Source organism: Homo sapiens, chromosome 3 (genome assembly GCF_000001405.40).
Source record: "Homo sapiens chromosome 3, GRCh38.p14 Primary Assembly".
Taxonomy (NCBI): Eukaryota; Metazoa; Chordata; class Mammalia; order Primates; family Hominidae; genus Homo; species Homo sapiens.
The window spans coordinates 15,066,090-15,089,503 of NC_000003.12; the positions used below are offsets into that span (position 1 = coordinate 15,066,090).

Consider the following 23,414-nt stretch of genomic DNA (forward strand, 5'->3'; position numbering starts at 1 on the left):
TGAAGTACTCTTGATCTGAAAGGTATTTCTCCTTCTCTTTTGAAGAGTGATTTTGCCAGATTTAGAATTCTAGGTTAGTGTTTTTCCTTTCCCTCCCTCCCTTCTGGAGTGCAATGGTGCTATCTTGGCTCACCGCAACCTCCGCCTCCCAGGTTCAAGTGATTCTCCTGCCTCAGCCTCCCGAGTAGCCGGACTTACAGGCATGCGCCACTACACCCAGCTAATTTTGTATTGTCAGTAGAGACGGGGATTCTCCATGTTGGTCAGGCTGGTATCAAACTCCTGACCTCAGATGATCCGCCCGTCTCAGCTTCCCAAAGTGCTGGGATTACAGGCGTGAGCCACTGCGCCTGGCCCTGGTGTTTTTCTTTCAACAATTTAAATAGTTCACTCCACTCTTTTTTTGCTTGCATGGTTTCAAACAAGTAATTAAATGCAATTACATTTATAGGTATGATGGCTTTTTCCTTTAGCTTCTTTCAAATTTTCTCTTGGTGTTTGGTTTACGGGGTTAGAATAAGGTAATGCAGATCTGTAGATGTTTTGTATTTGTCCTGCTTGGAGTCCTCTGAGCCTCCTGGATCTGTGATTTCATGTCTGTCATTAATTTTGTAAAGTTCTTAGCCATTTATTAGTTCAGGTATTTATTCTTCACTCTTTTCTCTTTCTAGTATTCAAGTTAAATGCATTTTATGTCTTCTGGAATTGCCTCATAGTTCTCGAATGTTCTGGCGGGGTGATGGAGGTTCTCTTTGCATTTTAGTGGGGAAGTTTCTGTTGACCTATCTTCAAATTCATTTAATCTTTGGTTATGGACAGTCTACTGATAAGCCCATTAAGGCATTTTTCATTTAAGGTTTTAACTTCTAGCACTTCCTTTTGATTCTTAGGGTGTTTGTTTGTTTGTTTTGAGACAAAGTCTCTGTCACCCAGCCTGGAGTGCACTGGTGCAATCTCTGCTCACTGCAACCTCTACCTCCTGGGCTCAAGCAATTCTCCCACCTCTGCCACTTAGCTGGGACTACAGGTGCACACCACCATGCCTGGCTAATTTTTTTTTTTTTTTTTTTTGAGACGAAGTCTCGCTCTGTCACCCAGGCTGGAGTGCAATGGCACTATCTTGGCTCACTGCAACCTCTGCCTCCCAGGTTCAAATGATTCTCCTGCCTCAGCCTCCCAAGTGGCTGAGATTACAGGTGCCCACCACCACACCCAGCTAGTTTTTGTATTTTTAGTAGAGACAGGGTTTCACCATGTTGGCCAGGCTGGTCTTGAACTCCTGACCTCGTGATCCACCCGCATTGGCCTCCCAAAGTGCTGTGATTACAGTCATGAGCCACTGTGCCCAGTCTAATTTTTGTATTTTTAGTAGAGATGGGGTTTCACCTTGTTGGCCTGGCTGGTCTCAAACTCCTGACCTCAAGTGATCTGCCTGCCTCAGCCTCCCAAACTGCTGGGATTACAAGTGTGAACCACCACACCTCGCATGATTCTTAGTTTTCTTATGTCTGTTTACATTACCCATCTGTTCTTGTATGTTGTTTACTTTTACCATTAGACCCCTTAACAGACCACATTTTAAATTTCTTGTCTGATAATTCCAATATCTGAGTGTGATTCTGATGTTTGCTTTGTTTCATCTGATTGTTGGGTTTATTTTTTTCCTTGCCTTTTAGCATGCTTATAATTTTTTTGTTGAAGGTAGAATATCCACTCTATTGGGCCATAGGAACTGGGGTAAATAAGCCTCTAGAATGAGAACTTATGTTAATCTGGCTCAGAGTTGAGAGCTGTGTTTAATGTTTGCCATAGCTGTAGGTGTCAGAGGCTTCCAGTTCCTCTAGTGTCTTTGTGTTTATCTCCTCTTGCCTTTGGGCTTCCCTCGATATTCCTCCTGAGAGAGTCCGTGTCTTGCAGCTCTTCCAGGTATAATTCACTGTTACTATCCTGGAGTCCTGTTGATGTGGTGGAAAAACATGGGGGAGGTGAAGCATTCTATAATCTTACGATTAAATCTCAGCATTTTAGTGGGCTTGTGTCCTTGGGCTGTGACCTACACAAGTGTTCTTTCCTTTTTTTTTCTTTTTCTTTTTTTTTTTTTTTTTTGAGGCAGTGTCTTGCTCTATCACCCAGGCTAGAGCGCAGTACAGTGGCGCAATCACAGCTCACTGCAGCCTCTACTTCCCAGGCTCAAGCAATTCTCCCACCTCAGCCCCGAGTAGCTTGGACTATGGCATGTGCCACAATGCCTGGTTAATTTTTGTATTTTTTGTAAAGATGAGGTTTTGCTATATTGCCCAGACTGGTCTTGAACTCCCGGGCTCAAGCAATCTGCCCACCTTGGCCTCCCAAAGTGCTGGAATTACAGGCGTGAGCCACCGCACTGGCCCACAAGTGTTTCTTAGTTCCCCTTTGTACCCCCTTACATGACCCAGCCCTCCTCCAGATGGATAAGGCTCTGTGAAAAAGTGCTTTCCTCTGGGGAATAAGCTTTATTATGGAGAAGGCTCTGATTACAAAGATGATTCTCCCTTTCCCCTGCCAGAGTCACCAGAGGGTCTTCCTCAGCTCTTCACCAATAGAACCAAGTAGGGTAAAACCCAGGAAAGCGTTGGGGGTGAGGGGGAGTTGCTCCCTCCCATGCTAGTCCACACTCAACCTCCAGCAGTTCATCAAAATTACCATTTAAGTTTTCCTACTAGCTATGGCTCCCGTGGCTTCTGCTCCAGGCAATTAGATCTTGCTCACTCTCTGGACTCACCTCTCTCTAGATTTTGGGATGGCAGTTTGACCTGCACACTCAGCTCTCTAATGGGACCAAGAAAGGCCAATGCTTTTGAGTTTGCCCAGCTTTTTCTTGTGGTAAGGATAGGATAACTTTCAAACTCTACGTGTCTGAGCTAAAACCAGAAGTGCTTTCTGAAGTATTTTTACAACTACGCTAGGCTTCCTGAAGAGTTAGGCAGAAGTTTTTCATCTTAAAAGTCCACAGGAGGCACTTGCTAGGGATGAAACACCCCATTCCACATTAGAAACATGGGTGTCCACATACAACACAATCTAGGGCAGCTTGGGTTTTGCAGTCAGACAGACCTAGGCTGGAAACCCAGCAGTGCAACCCTAAGCAAGCTTAACTTCACCACTCACTCATTTCTGCATGTGTAAATGGGTTGTTGGGAAGACTGAGGTAAGCCATGCGTAATACTTAGCACTCAGTCTAGCCTACAGTGAGCACTAGATATTATACTCTCCTGGTTTAAGAATCTATATATTCTTAAGGCCCTAAGGAGGTCTCAGTTTCACAGACTCAGGCAGTCACTATCGGAAACCAGCTCAGCAGCACCCAACCTCATTCCCCATTGCCCTTTTCTGCCCTCTTTGAGCTTGACACAATGGTTGAGCACCCACCACCACCACACCACTACCTGACCCAGCTACTTATTACTGAGGGCAAATTAAGTCAGGCAGATCTGGATTTAAACCCTCATTCCACCACTGACTGGCTGTGTGGCCTAAGCCAGGCTAATCTCTCTTAACTTTTCTACGTCTGGGGTCAGATGAACAGCTGAGTAACTACCTCACAGGCATGCTGGTAGTGCTAATGGAGGGAAATGTGGTCATGCAGAGGTGGTGACTGGCACAGATGGCAGTCACAAGGTTCCTCAATCTCTGAGCCTCAGTTTCTTCCAGTGTGAAACTGGGATGATAGGATCATTAAGGGATCTGCACTATACTTCTGTAAAACTGTTCATTTAACCAGCACTGCAGGAATAACTGGGAATAAGGGCAGAACTGGAACCCGTATCTATCCCCTGTTCAGAACCCAGTGACCTTCATTTTTTCCAGAGGCCTTAACCAGACAAACAACACAGGTGCTGGAACTATTCTGATACTCAGATGGTTGTCATCAAGAAAGGAGAAGGGATGTCATCTGATGATTCTCACTTGTAACACATGTGCACACAGACACACACACCCCCAACCTCTATCTCAGATTTTATTTTTTTTAAAAAAGGCTCCAATACAAGGCCCCAGAGTAGTGCATGCAAATCAACGACCCTCAAAGTGACAGTCATTGTCAGATAACAAGCACAATCTGCTACAGTCTGTGACCTGGTAAAGAGACCACCTTTTCATTTTGAGTCCCATCACCAACTATGCCAATGTCCAACCTACCACACAGCTCACAATGACTCAGAGGTACATTTTAGTATCTGAACAGCAAAGACATATTGAGCTGCAAGTACAATGAGTAAGTATCCTTAGTGTATTAGACAGGGTAAATACAAACAAGGCATAAAAGGGAAAAGCCAACTTCATCTGATGCCTGAATCCCTAAGTCTCTTCCATCTTTTCTCATGATCTGTGTCTAGGGAGATCTGCTATGCCATATCAAGACCTTGCTCATCTGGTGATGAGACGGGGCTGTTTGCCTTGGAAGACTAAAGAAAGGGTGAATATTCACATGAGGTAAGAACTTGAAGTTGTGGTTATAATACATAGGCCAAGTTTGCCTGCTGTCAACCCATCTCTGTAACTCCAACTTTGTGCCTGCATGAATTCTGCGACATGGTACAGCTGATGGGTAGAGAATTCTAACTCCTGTGATGTATTTACAGGAGAAGATAATCGTGGAAGAATTAAATGGAAGAATTCATAGAAGAATACAGCCATGGATAAACTTAATCAAAAGAATATGATTTTAGTTTGGTTTAGTATATTCAATCAGTCAGTTTTGTTTGTTTTTTGTGAGACGGAGTCTTGCTCTTGTCACCCAGGTTGGAGTGCAGTGGCGCAATCTTGGCTCACTGCAACCTCCGCCTCCCAGGTTCAAGCGATTCTCGTGCCTCAGCCTCCCTGAGTAGCTGGGATTACAGGCGTCTGCCACCACGCCCAGCTAATTTTTGTATTTTTAGTAGACACGGGGTTTCACCATGTTGGCCATGCTAGTCTCAAATTCCTGACCTCAGGTGATCCACCCGTCTCGGCCTCCCAAAGTGCTGGGATTACAGGAGTGAGCCACTGCACCCGGCCAGGCCTTTAAAAATAGTTTTTAAAAATGTTTCTTGTGTGTTTTTCAATGCTTTTAGTTACTTACAGATTGCTACCTGAGGTGATTTGAGGGAAGGGTATGTTTAGTGAATTAGTCTTAATCAAAATCACTAGCTAATTAAAAGAGAAATGTTCTCACAAGAAAAATAATTATGATGGAAAGCAGCAATTAGCTTCTGGAACTACCTGCTTTTCAGTTCATCCTCTTTTCAGAGAAATGAGACCCTAAGCAGGGAGGAGCCTACTGGCCATCTGAGAAACCCTCTAGAGTAACAGAGAAATGTCATGGGCCTCAGGGAAGAAAAGAGGCCTGTACCAGGCAACATCTTAGATGCCTGGTTGCCAACTTCTCAAAACAACCCATAACAACCAGCAGGGTTGGTAACTGGCTGACATTCATTAACACACTCATATGGCTGTTTGTGAACAGATCCCAAATGCAAAGCGTCCTTCACACACTTCTACCCACTCCCCATCTCCACACCCCTATACAAGATCTTTTCATTCAACCAAAAGGATAAGAAATGTGCTACAGAAATGTGAACATCAACACAAATACAGATTATTTTTTCATCAAGAGAGTTAAAACATTCCCATTATCAAGAGGGGTCTTCACCAGAATGTAACAAAATGAATTTCAGCTTTCACACCAGTAACCAGTGAAAGTATGGCCTAGAGCTAGTTACACGGCATAAAGTGACTAGTGGTCAGTTATTGTTCATTAGTTCAGATGAGTAACTGCAGAAACTCTACCCAGAGCTGAGCACATATGGCTATCATGATGTCAGATGTCAGTTAAGAGTTATGTTCCTGTAAACCAAAGCACCAGAGCTAAATTAACAATTTCCCTTTCTGGCCTTAATTGACCAACAGTTTAAGTACTGTGGTGCTACCAGCACGATCCTGGGTTGTGCTTCTTCAAACATTTCAGTTTCTCAATACTAACATTGGTAATAAAATATCTCATCAGGGCGGGCACAGTGGCTCACGCCTGTATTCCCAGCACTTTGGGAGGCCAAGGTGGCAGATCACTTGAGGCCAGGAGTTCGAAACCAGCCTGGCCAAAATGGTGAAACTCTACCTCTACTAAAAATACAGAGATTAACCAGGCGTGGTGGCCCACGCCTGTAATCCTAGCTATTCAGGGGGCTGAGGCACAAATATCACTTGAACCAGGGAGGTGGAGGTTGCAGTGAGCTGAGATCATGCCACTACACTCCAGCCTGGGCAACAAAGTGAAACTCTGTCTCAAAAAAAATAAAAAATCTCATCAGTGCCCCAAGTCAGGACACAATGAACCAAAAAGGAAGAAGGCTGATCAAATAGCCTTGGAAATTATTTTAATTTAGCTTCTGACTCTGGGAAGCTTCCCTTCTTCTGGTGATGTTCTGCAAAAGCTTCCAAATCACCGATTCCTAAATTAGAGACCCGGCCTTTTAAACAGACCCAGATCAGAGTAACTTTGCCAAAGCTCTGGAGGGAGATTTCTCCAGTGACAGACAATTGTTCTATCAGAAGAAGGGTGGGGAAACTCTTCTCACAAATAATACTAATATCAACCAAAAAGTTAACCACTCTTATTTTTTTTTGAGACGGAGTCTCACTCTCACTGCCCAGGCTGGAGTGCAGTGGTGCGATCTCGGCTCACTGCAAGCTCTGCCTCCCGGGTTCACAGCATTCTCCTGCCTCAGCCTCCAAAGTAGCTGGGACTACAGGCACCCACCACCACGCCTGGCTAATTTTTTGTATTTTTAGTAGAGACGGGATTTCACTGTGTTAGCCAGGGTGGTCTCGATCTCCTGACCTTGTGATCTGCCTGCCTCGGCCTCCCAAAGTGTTGCGATTACAGGCGTGAGCCAGCGCGCCCGGCCACCACTCTTATTTTCTAAAAAGCTCAGGACCAGATTCACATTGATACCCTGCACTGGGAGCTTAACTTCCTGAAAGAGACAAAAAAGAACTTAAACTGAGAAAATAGACCCTGGTGAAATATTCCCATCACCCCACCTTAAAAAGAGGTGCTGGGCTCTCCTGGGTCTAAACTCTCCCCTTCATAGCAGCACCTCCCCCTTCTATTGTACAGACAGGAAGTGCAGAGCAGGGGAGAGGCGGCCCCAGGTGAAATGGAACTCACAGCCTACTAGGGATGGACTTCTGTCAGAGCAGAATAGAGCTCAGTGGAATCTATCTTCTCTGTCTTGGCTAAAGGAAGGGCTCTAAAAAGGCTGCCCTATAATACTGCATAAGGAACCAAGACTAGGCAGTAGCAAATGGACCCAAGAGGTACACAGCAGCCATTTCTGCCCTGGGCCCAACAGAGCTGCATTTAGTTATATCTCGGTAGTAAAAATGTAAAGTCCCTTCAAAAGGGGTAAACCTCCGATTACAAAAGATAGTAATAATAAACAGGAAAAGCAGCAACTGAATGCTGATTCTCCCTGTTCTAGTTTCTATTTTATTATTCAACTGTAGTGGAAATACCTCAAAGTGCGCAACACAAAACAGCAGATTCCTGCCCCTCACCTGTGTGCATCTGAGTTCTCACCCTGCCACCTTCCCCATCCATCCTGCCTGCCCTCTGTCCTGCTCCACTGGCTCCTGCCAGACCCCTGGGCCCAAAGGTGCCCTCTCCACTGCTGGTCAGTCAGTGCCCCCCTTCTGCTTGGCCAGGGTGTGCTTCAGCTCCCGCAGATTCTCTGTCAGCACCTCTACCTCATCCAGGCGGCCGCACTGCTTGGCATCAAAGATGTATGCCTTGATGTTATCGATCTGCTGCAGGAGGAGCTCTTCCTCTATGGGCTCCTCAGCCTCTGGCCCACTGTCACTGTCCATCTCAAAGGGGTTGATACAGGTGGGTTCCTCAAAGGGGTTACCAGGAACCAGAGGGCTTGAGAGCCTCTGCTGGGGATGTTCGTCTTCCTCACTGAAGGGGTTAGGAGCTGGGCTGTCTGGCTGAATGAATGGATTCCCTGCCACTGCTTCCTCCTCCTCGTCCTCTTCCTCGAAAGGATTGTACTCTTTCAGGATGCGGGCTGAAGGGTCTAAGGAAACCCCTGCAGCAGGAGGACCAGTAGTGGCCTCTTCCATGGGGCTGGAGAGGTCTTCCTCATCAAAGGGGTTTAAGGAGGGCCCCTCATGTTGCTGTGGCATGCTGCTCTGGGGTAAGCGCTCCTGGCCAACGGCTGGGGGCCCAGACCACACTCTGGTGGGTTGAGTTGAGCTAAGTGAAGGGGTCTTGGGAGCTGTGCTGCTTGGAACTGGGGAAGAGCCTAGATCCAAAGCATAAGCAAGGTGGGTGCGAGGCTCTCTGCTGGGCTCCAGCTGAAAAGGGCCGATTTCTCTGAAGTCCAGGGACCGAGTCCGTGTGTGCAGGGATGCCACCCGAAACTGCTCCCTTTCTCGTTCCAACTCCCGTTCACGCAACATCTGCAGCTGTTCCCGCTGCAGGTCCTCCTCCTCAGCCTGCCTCCGGGACAGCTCGATGGCCTTCTCTGTCTGCTGCTGGTCATACTCGTCCTGCAGCTGCCGCAGGTTCTCCTGCAGAGTGCGCACTTCATCCATGCGGCCCGCGGCCTTGGCCTGCCTGATGAATGATGTGATGTTGTGGATCTGCTGGAGGAGCGGGTCTGAGTCCTCACTCTGCCCCTGACCTCCTGACAGTGGGAGCCAGCCCTCAGCCTTTCTCAAGGGGGCAGGGCCCCTGCGGAGAGATGCCACCTCCCCGTTGGCCGCTCGAGAAGCCAGGCCACTCTGCCTTTCCTCAAGCCTTCGCTGGGACTCCAGGGCAGCCTGGGGAGAGAGCAAAGCAGAGAGAAGAAACAGTCACTATGCTGGCAGCAGCCCACACTGTCACCCACCCTCTGTTGTCCCTCTATCCCTGTGCCAGTGACACTCCAATTTCTCACCTCAGGACAAAGATATCCAACTGCTAAAATCAAGTCATGTTTTTGTGTATATGTGGGCGGAAGGGAGACCCTGATTTTCAAAAATAAAATATAATGAATAAGTTAGGGCATCAGATTTTCTCAATCTTAGATTCACAGGCCGTATACTTTTCTTAAACCTCTAAGGTCTGTTCCCCTCATCTACACTGGAATCTCACGCAGCGTTAAATACACATATAATTTTCTGTTTAATATTGCATATACCGATATGTTCTACAAGGAACTTCCTAATGTCTTGGTCCTCTGCAACTCCTGCCATAGGGAGAACTGTCAATCTCTGTGGTATTCTAGCCATGAGAGAATCAGCAGAAGCTCTGAAAGAAAAATAGGCCCTGGGGAGAAAAACAATTATTCTAGTTCCCATAGATGAAAGTGAGGCTGAAACACAACAGAAGAAATATGCACATTTGAGAGAGAGGTTCTGATTCACTACAACCGCACACAACCTGGGAGCCCATGGCAGCCTCTGTGCTTGAGAGCCACAGGAGGAAGCAGGCCCCATATCCCTGGCTTCACTCACTTGTCTCTCCACGGCCCTCTTCCTCTCCATTTCCTCCTTCCTTTTCTTTTTCAGTTCCTCAAACTGTTCTTTGGTTGGCAGTGACATCAAACCAAGCAACTTTTCCTGCAGGGAGTGACAGACAATTTTACACTTAAACCCTTTTAGAGAAAAAATGAACCTTAAGCCCCATGATGAGAGTCTGCTTAAGCTGAGCCACTCTGTTCTCAGAGAGTGACATCATTTGACAGCAGCTAGAAAGGAGAGAACTCATATTGGGTGAGACAGTCAACTCCAAATGGGCCTGCATTTTCCTTATGAAATGATCAACATCAGATATCCCAGTTATTCACCTGGCTCAGATGTTAGCTTCTCTATGAGGTCTTGTCCCTGCCCATCCTATTAACTTAGCAAACCTCAATCCCAGCCCTCTCTCCCACACTTCCCTGCTGTAAGTTTCTCCAGAGCACTTTTGCTATCTTACATACTAGATATTTTAGTTGTTTATGATCTCTCTCCTTCTCTAGAACATAAGCTTAATGAGAACAGGAACGTTGGTCTTTTTTGTTCACTATAGGACATCCAGCACCTAAAACACTACCTGGTACATAGGAGGCACTCAACAAATGATTGCTGAATAGAGTCACTAATCAAAGTGAGGAAGGGCCTACTTCTCTATACTACAGAGTTAGAAAACTAACCTGACAGGACTCTGTCTATTAGATCTCTTTGTTGGCTGGGTGCAGTGGCTCACGCCTATAATCCCAGCACTTTGGGAGGCCAAGGTGGGCAGACTGCTTGAGCTCAAAAGTTTGAGACCAGCCTGCGCAACATGGTAAGACCCTGTCTCTATTTAATAAAAGAAAAAAAAAACACTTTGTTTTAATTTAAAAAAAAAGAAAAAAACAGATCTCTTTATCAGGGAGCCCCAAGAGTGGTTAACTGTGACTCTCTCAGAAGGGGCCTTCAGGGATAGAAAGACACAATTCAGATCTAACCACTTAGGTTAGTCTGCCCTTAATCGGCTGTTTCCTCCCAGCTGATGGCTCAAGAAGAGTCTCTTAGGAGATTATCCTAAGGAAGAAATACTAAGTACCATTATTACTATCATGGCAACACTTAACAGCAGCAAAAAATTAGTCTATCAAATGTCCAACTAAAGGAAAACGGTTAAAGAATGGCATATACAGTCAATATGCAGTATCGTAACTACTGTATATAAAAAATACAAATGGGAAAAAAGAAAACATACCAGAATAATGAGTGATTGTAATGGGGACATAGGATTAAAAGTAGTTTTAGTTTTCTCTGAAATCCAGATTTTTCTCTAAGTGTGGCATCATGCATTCATAATTTCAAAAAATAATAAATGTATAAATAGGAAGTAAACAAGTCATTGGCATGGATCTGCCTCCTGGGAAGCAAAAGAGCAGGACAGGCCAAGTGCAACATTTATGCCAACCCAGGATGGCTTTACCTGCACAAAAAGTGTAGCTGAGTATCTGATCATTCTCTGCAGCCGCAAATTGCTTGGATGTGGTGGAGGGTCCTGGTTCAAGCCCAAGGTTAAGATCTTCTTACTGAATTGGAACAAACACATGAATATAATGAGCACTGCCAGCTTCAGAAACAAGGGTGAAAAGTATAACATCTGGAGTTGCCAGGCTTTCATGCCAGGAAGGTGTGTAAAGATGGACAAGTGACTCCATTGAAGTTTCTTTGAAGGCAAAGCCCATTTCTTACCCTTTGGCTGTACACAGGCCTTAGCAAAGGGCGCACAACACTGTTATGGAGTGACTGACTACACATGCAGAGCCAGCTTCACAGGTGAGCAACCTATGCAACTGGAAAGGACTGGCACTTAAAAGAGCCCTGTGCTTGGTTTAATGCTCTGCTGTTAGTGTCTTTATTCTTAATAACTTTTGAACAGGGGACATGCATTTTCATTTTGTACCAGGCCCTGCAACTACGAACTCCTGCTGTATGTCTGGATGGACAAAGGCACCTCATCTTATTCTCCCTCTGAGTCACTGGCTAATTTAACCCCAATGGCCAGTCCACAGTTAAAAAGCAGCTGTGGACTTGAGCACAGACACAAAGAAAGAACCTGAGTTTCTATCTTCACTCCACAATTTTTGCTATCTGTGACATGATTCCTCACCTTTGACACAGGATGTTAATCCCTACCTCACAGGGTAACTTCAGTAGAATAAATGAGCTATTCTAGAGAAAACAGCCAGTGACTGGCAGGTGATAGGTGTCAATAACCAGCTCCTCTTTCTTTAATAATAGCAAACATTAGAAATCCTTAACGAAACAAAAGTCACTGAGATGCATTAAGTGCCAGAGCTGGCCCCTTCCTTGCCCTCCTCCTCACCCACTGCCCCATCACCAGAAGTCTGAGTGAGTGCAGGTCTGCTTTCGCCATTTCATTAGAACAGCATCTTCTCCATTCCACCAGCGGGCAGGATACCACTTAATGGACCTTACCTTAAAGCGTCTATCAGCTCATACACTTTCTGCACTTCCACTCGAAGGTCACTGGCATGTTCCAGACTGTAGGTTGTCTCCCCAGCACTAAGGAGAAACCAGAGACACGTGACCTAAGTTTCATGGTGCAGATTGGACAGCATAGTGTAGAAGGACGCTAAAGGTGTAAGGCCTCACAAAGGCAGTTAATTCTCTAAAGGTGGCATTTCAGACTTTCAGATATAATGCAGTGTCCATCTCTTGGAATGAATGAATCAAGTGGAAGTGATGTTTCGATTTGCAGACGCAACAGGGACAGATTCATGCCAAGGCCTCCAAGGACTAGCCCTTATGCTCATCACCAAAACAAATGCGGCTGAATTTACTCTGGCCTACTTTTCCTAAACAATTCCACTATATCTAACAAGATGTAAGAAGTGGTTACACTACATTAAGAGCAGAAAGCTACTTGGCTTTTCTCGCTCAAAAGTACCCAAGGAGGTTCGAGACCAGCCTGGCCAACATGATGAAACCCCATCTCTACTGAAAATACAAAAATTAGCCAGGCATCGTGGTGGGTGCCTGTAATCCCAGCTACTCAGGAGGCTGAGGCAGAAGAATTGCTTGAACTGGGAGGCGGAGGTTGCAGTGGGCTAAGGTCGCACCACTGCATTCCAGCCTAGGCGACAGAGCAAAACTCGGTCTCAAAAAAAAAAAAAAAAATACATATATATATATATATATATATATATATATATATATATATATATACATGGTTTTGTTTTAAATATATATATACACATGGTTTTGTTTTTAAAAAAGGCACATCTACTACTACATGCATCGCTTTAAATGTGGCAGATAGGCAACACAGGTTTAAGACAAAGACAGAAAACTCTGAAATTAATAACACTAGATACCATAATTAATTCTTTTCCTACAGGTTGGGAAAACACTGCTGGGATCTGACTCTAGTAGTTAGCACTTTAACTTCTAGGTTACAAACACTAAGCTTCAGAAAAAGCAACGATCTTAAGCAGGGATCAGCAAATTTTTTCCATAAGGAGCCGAATCATAAATGTTTTCAGCTTTGCAGGCCACACAGTCTCTGTTGCTGCTATTCAACTCTGTCATGGTGGTGCAAAAGCAGCCACAAACAGTAATCAAACATGGGCATGGCTGTGTTCCAATAAAACTTTATGCAAACAGGTGGCAATAACTAGTGTTGGTAAGGCTATAAAGAAAGTGAAACCCTCATACACTGCTGGTGGGAATGCAAAATAGTGCAGTCATTCCACAAAACGATTTAGCAATTCCTCTATGGAATGTTACTCTATGGTAATATATAGTTACCATAAAACCCAGCAATTCCACTCCTAGGTACCTACCCGAGAGAAATGAAAACATGTCTACACAAAAAACATAAAAACTTGTACTCAAATATTACAGAAGCATTATTTATAACAGCCAAAAGTGGAAAAAACCCAAATGTTCATCAACTGATGGATAAACAAAATGTGACAAGTATCCATGCAATGCATTCATACAGATGGAATGAAGTACTGATACATGCAACAACATGGATGAATCTGAAAAACAGTACACTGTGTGAAAGAAGCCAGACAAGAGAGATTTTATATTTATGATTCTATTTATATGACATGTCAAAAGCAGACAAATCCATAGAGACAGGAAATAGATTAGTGGTGTCCAGGGAGATGGGGAAAGGGCAGTGGCTGCTAATGGGTATGGGGTTTCCTACTGGGGTGATAAAAATGTTTACAATGAAGACAGTGGTAATGTTCGCTAATTTTGTGAATACGCTAAAAACCACCAAACTGTACACTTTAAAAGGGTAAAGGTTAGGGTGTGTGAACTACATCTCAATTTTAAAAAAGAAGCAGATGTTGGCCAGACACGGTGGCTCACGCCTGTAATCCCAGCACTTTGGGAAGCCAAGGCGGGTGGATCACGAGGTCAAGAGATCAAGACCATCCTGGCCAACATGGTGAAACCCCGTCTCTACTAAAAATATAAAAAAATTAGCTGAGCGTGGTGGTGCGTGCCTGTAGTCCCAGCTACTTGGGAGGCTGAGGCAGGAGAATTGCTTGAACCTGGGAGGTGGAGGTCACAGTGAGCCGAGATCACGCCACTGCACTCCAGCCTGGCAACAGAGTGAGACTCCGTCTCGGAAAAAAAAAAAAAAAAAGCAGATGTCAGGATACATTTGGCCCACGGGCTGCAGTCTGCCAGCCCCTGCTCTAATGGTCATGCCTGCTTTAAGCCCTGACACCTCAATGTGACACTCAAGTGGCATCTACCCAGACATGAGCATGAGACCCACTGCCCTTCCTCTGCTCTGTCCAGATGCTGCACTCAGCAGCAGTACCTATTGTCTGAGGCCCTTCCCAAACCTGCTCAGTCAGAATAGCCAAGGTCAACTGAATGTGGCTGTCTTTCTACAAGCTCATGTGATGGTAGCCTGTACCCCACTAAAAGACAGACATGAAGATGATTCTCTTCATAATAGCCAAAAGTGGAAAAAAACCAACTTCAGCTGGTCTCAGAAAAAAAGCACGGTTGAAGTTAAGATTTTCATTTTTGGCTACTGGAGAATTGACCTAAAATGCCAGAAAACAGTCACCACTGGATTAGAAAAACATAGATGAATAGCTTACTTTAATGATGCTGCCATCCTGATGTATTCTGGAGCTTTCTGGTCAACTTTCTCCATGCAAAGTCGTAATTTCTAAGAACAAAAACAAAGAGGTAAGTGGTATGCTCAAGATATAGAAACACCTACCCAGAAGCTAGGCTCCATCAATGGAGCTATATTTAAAATGTTCACTTTTCTAACACATTAATTGTTGTTATCAATTTCCTGATTTATAGGCATACTTTCCAAGCAGAAAATTTTGTAGGAAGGAAAGAAAGTGAGAATGGAGCTTCTGATCAGATGTTTCGTTTTGTTTTTTTTTGAGAAGGAATTTTGTTCTGTCACCCAAGGTGGAGTACAATGGCGCGATCTCCACTCACTGCAACCTCTGCCTCCTGGGCTCAAGCGATTCTCATGCCTCGGCGTCCTGAGTAGCTGGAATTACAGGCACGCTGCCACCACGCCCGGCTAATTTTTATATTTTTAGTAGAGACGAGGTTTTGCCATGTTGGCCAGGCTGGTCTCGAACTCCTGGCCTCAAATGATCTGCCTGCCCCGGCCTCCCAAAGTGCCCGGCGAGATGTTTTTGAGAGGAGCAAGGCTTCCAGGGCACAAGCCAAGGTGTCTACCAAGACAAAAAGGAATTAGCTGCTACTTTCTTTCTCTGCCAAGTGATGCCAGGCAACAATGGGAAACCAGCACAAGGCATTGCCAGGGCTTACTTCAAAAGAGGAGGTGGCACAAGCACCGTGGGTATTCACAGAAATGAGATACCAGGTCGTGAACTCCACACAAAGGATGGAGAATGCTACATCTGCAACCCAACATGGGGCTTAATTGACACCATTTCTAGTAGCCTGAGTATTTACATAGGGATTCCAGAAACAGTGCCATTATGACCTGCAGAACTACTAACAATGACTATTCAGTGGTCATTAGGCAAAATTACACTCTTCCTCTGTTCAGAATGTTGCACAAGCTGCTTCCTCTGCCTGGGCTGATCTCTTCCCTGCATCTCTTACTGCCTCCCCACCCAGTCCACCTGGCTAGTCTTCCTCAGCTCACAGGTCTCACCTGGCCATTAAGGGACCAAGCCAGTCTCACTCCCAGATATTCTTTGCACACTATTTCCTCTCAGAGTATGCATCTAGTAGGGGGGCTGTGGGATCACTCAAGTAACGACAGCTGAGGCATTTGGACAAACTTAGAAGGGGACACTCAGTAAACTGGTGAAGCCTGAAAACTTGTAGAACTTTCTAAAACTTGTAAAGTCTAACACTCCCAAGTGAGTTTCCCAGGATTCTTCTGGCCCACTGTTTATGAACATCTCTAGCTTCTGCCCTTCCCACAGAACCTGTCTACACCACATGGCAACTGCCCTTCCTCCTATTGCCTCTGGGCCACCAAAGCTTCCACCCACCTGCTTTCAAGTGGCCAAGGAAGGCCACTTGAAACGAGTTTGTTGCAACACACCCAGGATGACTCTGACTCACACAGGGCCCTAGCTGGGAAATCATAACATGGGCCTTTAACAGGAACTACAAATAATTCAAACGAACAACTTCCCAAAGCATTCTCCAGAATCTGCAGGAGTGTACATAACAAACAGCCAAATCTGCCTAAGAAATTAGACCCAAGACCAGACAGCGCGAATCACCTCGTAGAGCTTCACGATGTCAGGTGTGTGCTCCTTCTCATCAATCTGCTGCTCTCTCTTGAGCAGCGTGTCCTTGCAGTGTGTACAGCAGCGGATCCGGTCATCGTCCTTCTCATCCAGGACCGAGCTGACACTGCTCATGCTGCTGATGCTGCCTCGGCGGGAGCCATGGACACTGTTGGGTGACTGGCTGGGGCTGGTGTGGGTGCTCAGGGACTCCTTGCTGGCACTGGTGAGCTTGTCTGTAACCACAACACCAACAGGCAGCAATGACCCCCACAGCATCCAATTACCATACCCACGACCTCAAGGTGTCAGTCCACAGGTGTTTGATTTGGAGAGTAATAAGATCAGGCTCCAGCTGTGGGCACGTACTGCCCCTCTGCCTTCCTGGTGTCAGACTCTGGTGAGAAAGGACTCCACTGCTGCCCCTCCAAATCCAAACAGCCTTCCCTTTCCACCTGCCACTCTCCTGCATTTGCCCTGTGCCTCCAACACAACAAACATTCTCCCAGGAGACTTTCCTCCACAGCCTTCTCCCTATTCCCAAACATCTGGCTCCTACCCTCTCTGAATGGCAGGTCCTCCAGGAAAGCCTTTTCCAATTCCCTGAGGCAAAAACTATCCATCCTTCCCATCAGTTCCCACCACATTGCCCATTTTGGAGCACTTTCCACTCTTCTCCCTGTGTACAGTTGCATGTACACCCCAGAGCTGCCCTAGGAACCTATGACTCTTTGTGGGTACGAACTGTGTCTTACTCACACTTGTACACTTAACATATCCAGCAGGGCCACCCCACAGCAGCTGCCCAGTAAATGCTGGCTAAAGAGCTCAAGAGAAGAAGGGTGAATAGTGTCCCAAAAAGGCAGCTTATAAAATCTCATGTGAGACAGGGAGTTGGTCTCAGGGAGAAAGTATCAAGGTACAGTGACCTGGTATATGTGAGAGTTGGAAAGAAGAAGCATCTGTTTTTGTCCCCACATTATCCAGACACCCCATGGCCAACAGTGTGCACAGTCAGCAGAACTCTCTAGTGTTGCAAATTTACCCCAAACTTCCCAGAAGCCAATGAGATCATCTTCAGCAACTTCTACTCAGCTTGGTTGCAAAGTCCTGGAGGATCGGGTTCCACCTAAACTTTGTCCTCCACACACCCCCAACTATTCTATTTGCTCATCTATTAACCTACCCTGGGCTTTCCAGAATTCCATGCCTTTGCTCCTACTCTTCACTCTACCTAAAATGTCCTCTTTCTCCATCTCTTTTGCAATCCTACTCATCTTTTAAGGCTCTTCTTGAACATCACCTCCCAGCCCTAAGCATGCATGCTCTCACTGTCCCTGAGCCCACAGCACTCAGCATCTCTCATATTATGATATTAGTCTTTTCTATATGGCAGTGAGTTGTCTGTGACTTATCCCACAGGAAGGGACTAGCCCACTGCTTATATTCAAGACCCTCTTCTCAAAGTCACACTTGCCACTTCCAAGCAGAGCAGACAAAGAGTTGGTCAGCCTCTCCTGAGTTCCTGACAGTCTCTTTCATTGTACATCTCTCTTTAGAAAGCAATTATTTATTTGTGAGTTTATATCCCCTGATAGATGCTAGACTCCTTGGAAGAATGGACAATGCCTTATAGGCTTATAGGCCAGAAATGGGCAAAAAATGACCTGTGAGCCAAGTCCAGCCTCCAGGCTGTTTCTATATGGCTCTCAAACTAAGTATAATTTTCACATTGCTATTTTATTTTATTTATTTATTTTTTTGAGATGGGAGTCTCGCTCGGTCACCCAGGCTGAAGTGCAGTGGCTCAATCTCAGCTCACTGCAGCCTTCACCTCCCAGGTTCAAGCAATTCTCCTGCCTCAGCCTCCTGAGTAGCTAGGACTACAGGCACATGCCACCACGCCAGGCTAATTTTTGTATTTTTATAGAGACAGGGTTTCAACATGTTGGCCACGCTGGTCTCAAACTCCTGACCTCAAGTGATCCGCCTGCCTTGGCCTCTCAAAGTGCTGTGATTACAGGCATGAGCCACTGTGCCCAGTCTAGTGTTCACATTTTTAAAAGGTTGTTTAAAGAAAGAAGAAATGTCACAGCAACCATATGTGGCCCACAAAGCCTAAATGTATTTACTATCTGATCCTTTACAAAGTTTGCCAATCCCTGTTATAGACCACTGTATCCCTGGCCCCTAGCATAGTACCTAGTCTGTAGTGGGTTTCACAGAAACAGCAACTCAATGAATGAAGATTCCCATGAGCCATTAATTTAACAAAAAGGTTCCACGATCCCAGTGGTAATTAGCAAATAAGCTAGGCCCAAAAGAAGATGAGGGTCCAGGGCCCCACCTCCAAGTCACCTACTTGCCAAGGGAAGGCTGATGAGCTCCATACACTTCTTGCACATAATAGACCCGCAGAGGCGGCAGTGGTGGCGGCGGTTCCGGATGCTGAACTTATTCCCACAGTCTGGACAGAAAGGGACATCCTGGTCGTTGACCCAAGGCACCACAGACTTTTCTATTGCTTTGGGAAGAGCAAACCAACAAGAAAGCAGGCCATTTTAAAGAGAGCTTTGGTCAGGGAAAAAAAGATAATAAGATGAATGTGAGCAAAGTTTTAAAGTTACCTCGAATCTTTGCAGACTCAGTATTTGTTCTGTCAAATGCAGTGAGCTGACCGGAAGAAAATAGTGCCAAATGAAATTAACCAGGTGATGTATACATGCTCCACACTTTCCAATACATCAAGTGGGAAATTAGCACATTTGCATTCCTCAAGTCTCATCTGTCATCCCCAACGCCACAAAATCACAAAAACAATTTCACATGGGACAGGGTATTAGTTTTGCATCTAGAACCCACCTCGCTTCCTATAACCCACTTCTAATCTCTTTATTGTCAGTTACCCATTTTAGCAATAACCAGGGGTAGGCAAGGATGGGTAAGGGCAACGACTGAAAGCAACAGAAAACTCTCCATTCTCCACGGTGCTCCTGGACCCTAAAACTGGCCACATATTTCTGCCTTACAAAGTACACATAAAGAACTGTACTTGTGCTTGCTACTATGCCCAGCACACAATCCAGGTTACACACAACAAGCACAACTAGGATGAAAATACACCCGTGAGACCTGGTGACCACTTCTTTGTTTGCCATCACACACTACACCTCACTGGATGATTGTGCCTGGGACACCCAAAAGAAGAATCTGAAGGAAGAAAGGTTTTCCAGCACCTGAGTGGGATTCATAGGTGGGAAAAGGGAAGCTAAGCATGTGGCAAGTTTGTCAACCTGGGCCATTCTCTTAAGGAATGCTGGCCCAGGCTAGAACTGTCCACCATGTCCTTTGCACCTCTCTAGAGAAGGTGTTTCTCTGCCACCATCAGATGTATATGATATATACAACACAGGCTATAGAAATGTGATTATTTTTCCCCAGAAAATGTGTATTTGTAGAAAAAAATGTTTTAAGACAACAAAATTTACCTTCTCTAACCTGATTATTAGTTTATTGACTTCCACAACATAGTGGTCAATTCTAGCAGCTCGGTGTTTTTTGAAGTCGGAAAGATGGCTTCTCACAGCACCTAGAGGGAAGGAAGGTAGGGAGACAAATGACTTATAGTTTCTCTGAGGGAGCCTAGTCTCTACCTTGCCTCTTATCCCAGTGAATTTCAAAAGCAGGTTGGTCAACATAGCGAGACCCCGTCTCTCTCCAAAAAAAAAAAAAAAAAAAAAAATAGTCAGGCATGGGTATGTACGCCTATAATCCCAGCTCCTTGGGAGGCCAAGGCGGGAAGATGGCTTGAGCTCAGGAGCTGGAGGCTTCAGTGAGCTATGATCCCACCACTGTACTCCAGCCTGGGTGACAGAGTGAGACCAACTTCAGAAAGAAAAAAAAATATATTTCAAAAGCAAGTAAAAACTCTAGGATTTTAGAGCCTTACCAAAAATTCAAAAACCAGGAAAGCAAATGGAAGAAAATCTGCTAAATTGTTAACCGCCTTTGGAGGCCACCAAGTACCATATGAGAGACCTGAGAGTAGAGCAGATAAGAGCATGGACTCTGGAGTCAGCCTGTGCTCAAGTTTCAATTCTGCCACACACTGTGTAACCTTGGACACATTACTTAACATCTCTGTAACTCTAAGAGTACTCAACTATCAAATGGAATAATAATGGTATCTACTTCACAGAGTTGTTAACGATGATTAAATAAGTTAAAATTTGTAAAGTCTTAACTGACTCTCATGCCAATGTTAAATAAACAGGGTGGGAACATTATGGGTGATTTAAACATTTTTGAATTATCTTATTGTTTTATACTTTATAAATTTGATACAATATGGTTTTTCCTCAGGATAAGGACAATTCTCAAAATGGCCAAAAAAATGTAAATGCTGGTAGATTCCCTTGTGGGAGATAGTTAAGCTGATACCTTCCTCAGTCCAGCAGCCAAAACCCAGGACAAATGTCTGCAACACAAATAGCTTACTGTCTGAGTAACCTGAAATATCCCCTGCTCAGTCTCACCTGTTCCAGAAACATATTGTCCTCAACCCTCCCGGCACTCAGTGCATGTCCTCTTCCCAATGATCATCTATTCATTTATAGACTATAATGTAACAGAATTTGTCACATGCCATGCTTTTAAAAAATTTTTTAATTGCCAAATAAAAATTGCATATATTCACCGTGTACAACATGATGTTTTGAAATATTTATACACTGGGAAATGGCTAAACAAGCTAATTACCATATGCATTACTTCATATACTTACCACTTTTTGTGGTGACAATACAAAGTCTACTCTCACTGATTTTCAAGAATACGAGATATTTTTATTAACTATAATCAGGCCAGGTGCGGTGGCTCATGCCTGTAATCCCAGCACTTTGGGAGGCTGAGGAGCATGGATCACTTGAGGCCAGGAGTTCAAGACCAGTCTGACCAACATGGTGAAACCCTGTCTCTACTAAAAATACAAAAATTAGCTGGGCATGGTGGTGCACGCCTGTGGTCCCAGCTACTCAGGTGGCTGAGGCACAAGAATTGAACCCAGAGGCAAAGGTTGCAGTGAGCCAAGATCACAGCAGCACACTTGAGCCTGGGTGACAGAGGAAGGCTGTCTCAGAAAAACAAACAAACAAAAAACTATAAATCACCACCTTATACAACAGATCTCTTGACTTATTCCTCCCGGCTGAAATTTTGTATCCTTCGATCAGCATCTCCACATGCTATACTCTTTATTTATTTTTGAGACAGAGTCTCGCTCTGTCGCCCAGACTGGAATGCAGTGGCGAAATCTCCAGGCTCACTGCAATCTCCACCTCCCAGGTTCAAGCAATTCCCATGCCTCAGCCTCCCAAGTAACTTGGATTACACACATGTGCCACCATGCCAGGCTAATTTTTGTATTTTTAGTAGAGACAGGGTCTCACCACATTGGCCAAACTGGTCTCAAATTCCTGGCCTCATGTGATCTACCTGCCTTGGCCTCCCAAAGTGCTGGGTTTACAGGTGAGCCACCGCACCTGGCCACACATGCTATACTCTTAACCATCCACATGTCTTTTCTTCCCTAATCATACTCTAACATCTAATTAAACTTTAATTTAGAATTCTTAGGGGTGACCATAAATATTAACTGCTAAAATTTGCCATTCATTTGACCTACAATTTGTGATTTCAGTTACTGCAACTGGCAACTTAATCAGAAAATCACCCTAGTAATCTCACATTGGCAATCATGAAACAAGGTATCACAAACAAGCTATCATAAATAAATATTAACTTCTAAAATTTGCCATTCACTTGACCTTCTACAATTTGTGACTGTCTTCAGTTGCTGCAACTGGCAACTTAATCAGAAAATCACCCCAGTAATCTCACATGGGCAATCATGAAACAAAGCTAATAAGAATTCATGTGTCCAAAATTTCTCCTTCATGTTTTGGATTGGCTTTCATATGTATCTCATAATTACATATGTATAGTATTATTATTATTTTTTTTTTTTGAGACAGAGTCTCGCTCTGTCACCCAGGCTGGAGTGCAGTGGTGCAATCTCGGCTCACTGTAACCTCTGCCTCCTGGATTCAAGCAATTCTCCTGCCTCAGCCTCCCGAGTAGCTGGAATTACAGGCATGTGCCACCACACCTGGCTAATTTTTTTGTATTTTTAGTAGAGACGGGGTTTCACCATATTGGCCAGGGTGGTCTCAAACTCCTGACCTTGTGATTCAGCTGCCTCGACCTCCCAAAGTGCTGGGATTACAGGCGTGAGCCACTGCGCCCGGCTGTATAGTATTATTTTTAAAGCAATTTTCTCCTGCAATAACAAAAATGTTTCCATTCTCCAATACAGTAGCAAATAGCCACAAGTGGACACAGAACACTTAAAATGTGGTTAGTGTGTGCTACAGGAAGTGACTTTTAATTTTATTTCATTTAAATTTATTTAAACTTAAATAGCCCATGACTGGTGGCTACTGAATGGACAGCACAGTTGTAGGACTTTCCTTATTCAAAGAGACACCTTCTATAACAGCACTAAAAAGATACAGTAGATGAGCCTGGGTAAATTTCGCTTTCCTTCTTGGAGCTCCAGTTTCCTCATCCATAAATGGGAAAAAGGACCACTACTCCACAAGGCTTTTGTGAAAGGTGAACAAGATCATAAACATGAAAATTGAATAAATCACAAGGGAATGATAAATAAATAAAGGAATAATTACCCATTTCATGGACAGAAAATATTTTATTATATTAATGACTGTTATCATTAGACGGTTAAAGGATATGTAGGCAGGCGTAGTGGCTCACACCTGTAATCCTGGCACTCTGGGAGGCTGAGATGGGAGGATCACTTGAGCCCAGGAGTTCAAGACCAGCCTGGCCAACATAGGACCCTGTTTCTACAAAAAATACAAAAATTAGCCAGGTGTGATGGATGGTGTGCACCAGTAGTCTTAGCTACTGAGGAGGCTGAAGTGAGAGATCACTTGAGCCTGGAATGCAGTGAGCCATGACGGAGCCCTGGACTCCAGCCTGGGTGACACAGTGAGACTCCATCTCCAAAAAAAAAAAAAAAAAAAAACAAAAAAAAAAAACAGATATGTAAGA

At 44.7% G+C, this 23,414-nt stretch overlaps 1 protein-coding gene across 10 annotated transcripts in view; it reads right to left on the reverse strand.

Annotated features, from left to right (window-relative positions):
• Positions 3,984-23,414, reverse strand: part of RBSN (rabenosyn, RAB effector) — a 29,076-nt gene continuing 9,645 nt past the window's right edge. For 8 of the 10 annotated variants that reach the window (XM_005265385.5, NM_001302378.2, XM_005265384.5 and 5 more), the window contains 9 exons: positions 19,772-19,872; positions 18,911-18,956; positions 18,646-18,807; positions 16,278-16,519; positions 14,643-14,713; positions 11,986-12,072; positions 10,973-11,075; positions 9,517-9,621; positions 3,984-8,841 (listed from right to left, as the gene is read on the reverse strand). In XM_005265385.5, the coding sequence (XP_005265442.1) occupies positions 7,693-8,841; positions 9,517-9,621; positions 10,973-11,075; positions 11,986-12,072; positions 14,643-14,713; positions 16,278-16,519; positions 18,646-18,807; positions 18,911-18,956; positions 19,772-19,872 (2,066 nt within the window). In that variant the 3' untranslated portion in view covers positions 3,984-7,692. Of the gene's footprint in view, positions 8,842-9,516; positions 9,622-10,972; positions 11,076-11,985; positions 12,073-14,642; positions 14,714-16,277; positions 16,520-18,645; positions 18,808-18,910; positions 18,957-19,771; positions 19,873-23,414 lie in introns of those variants that run through there. The other 2 variants (XM_017007026.2, XM_047448708.1) reach the window with 2 other exon arrangements.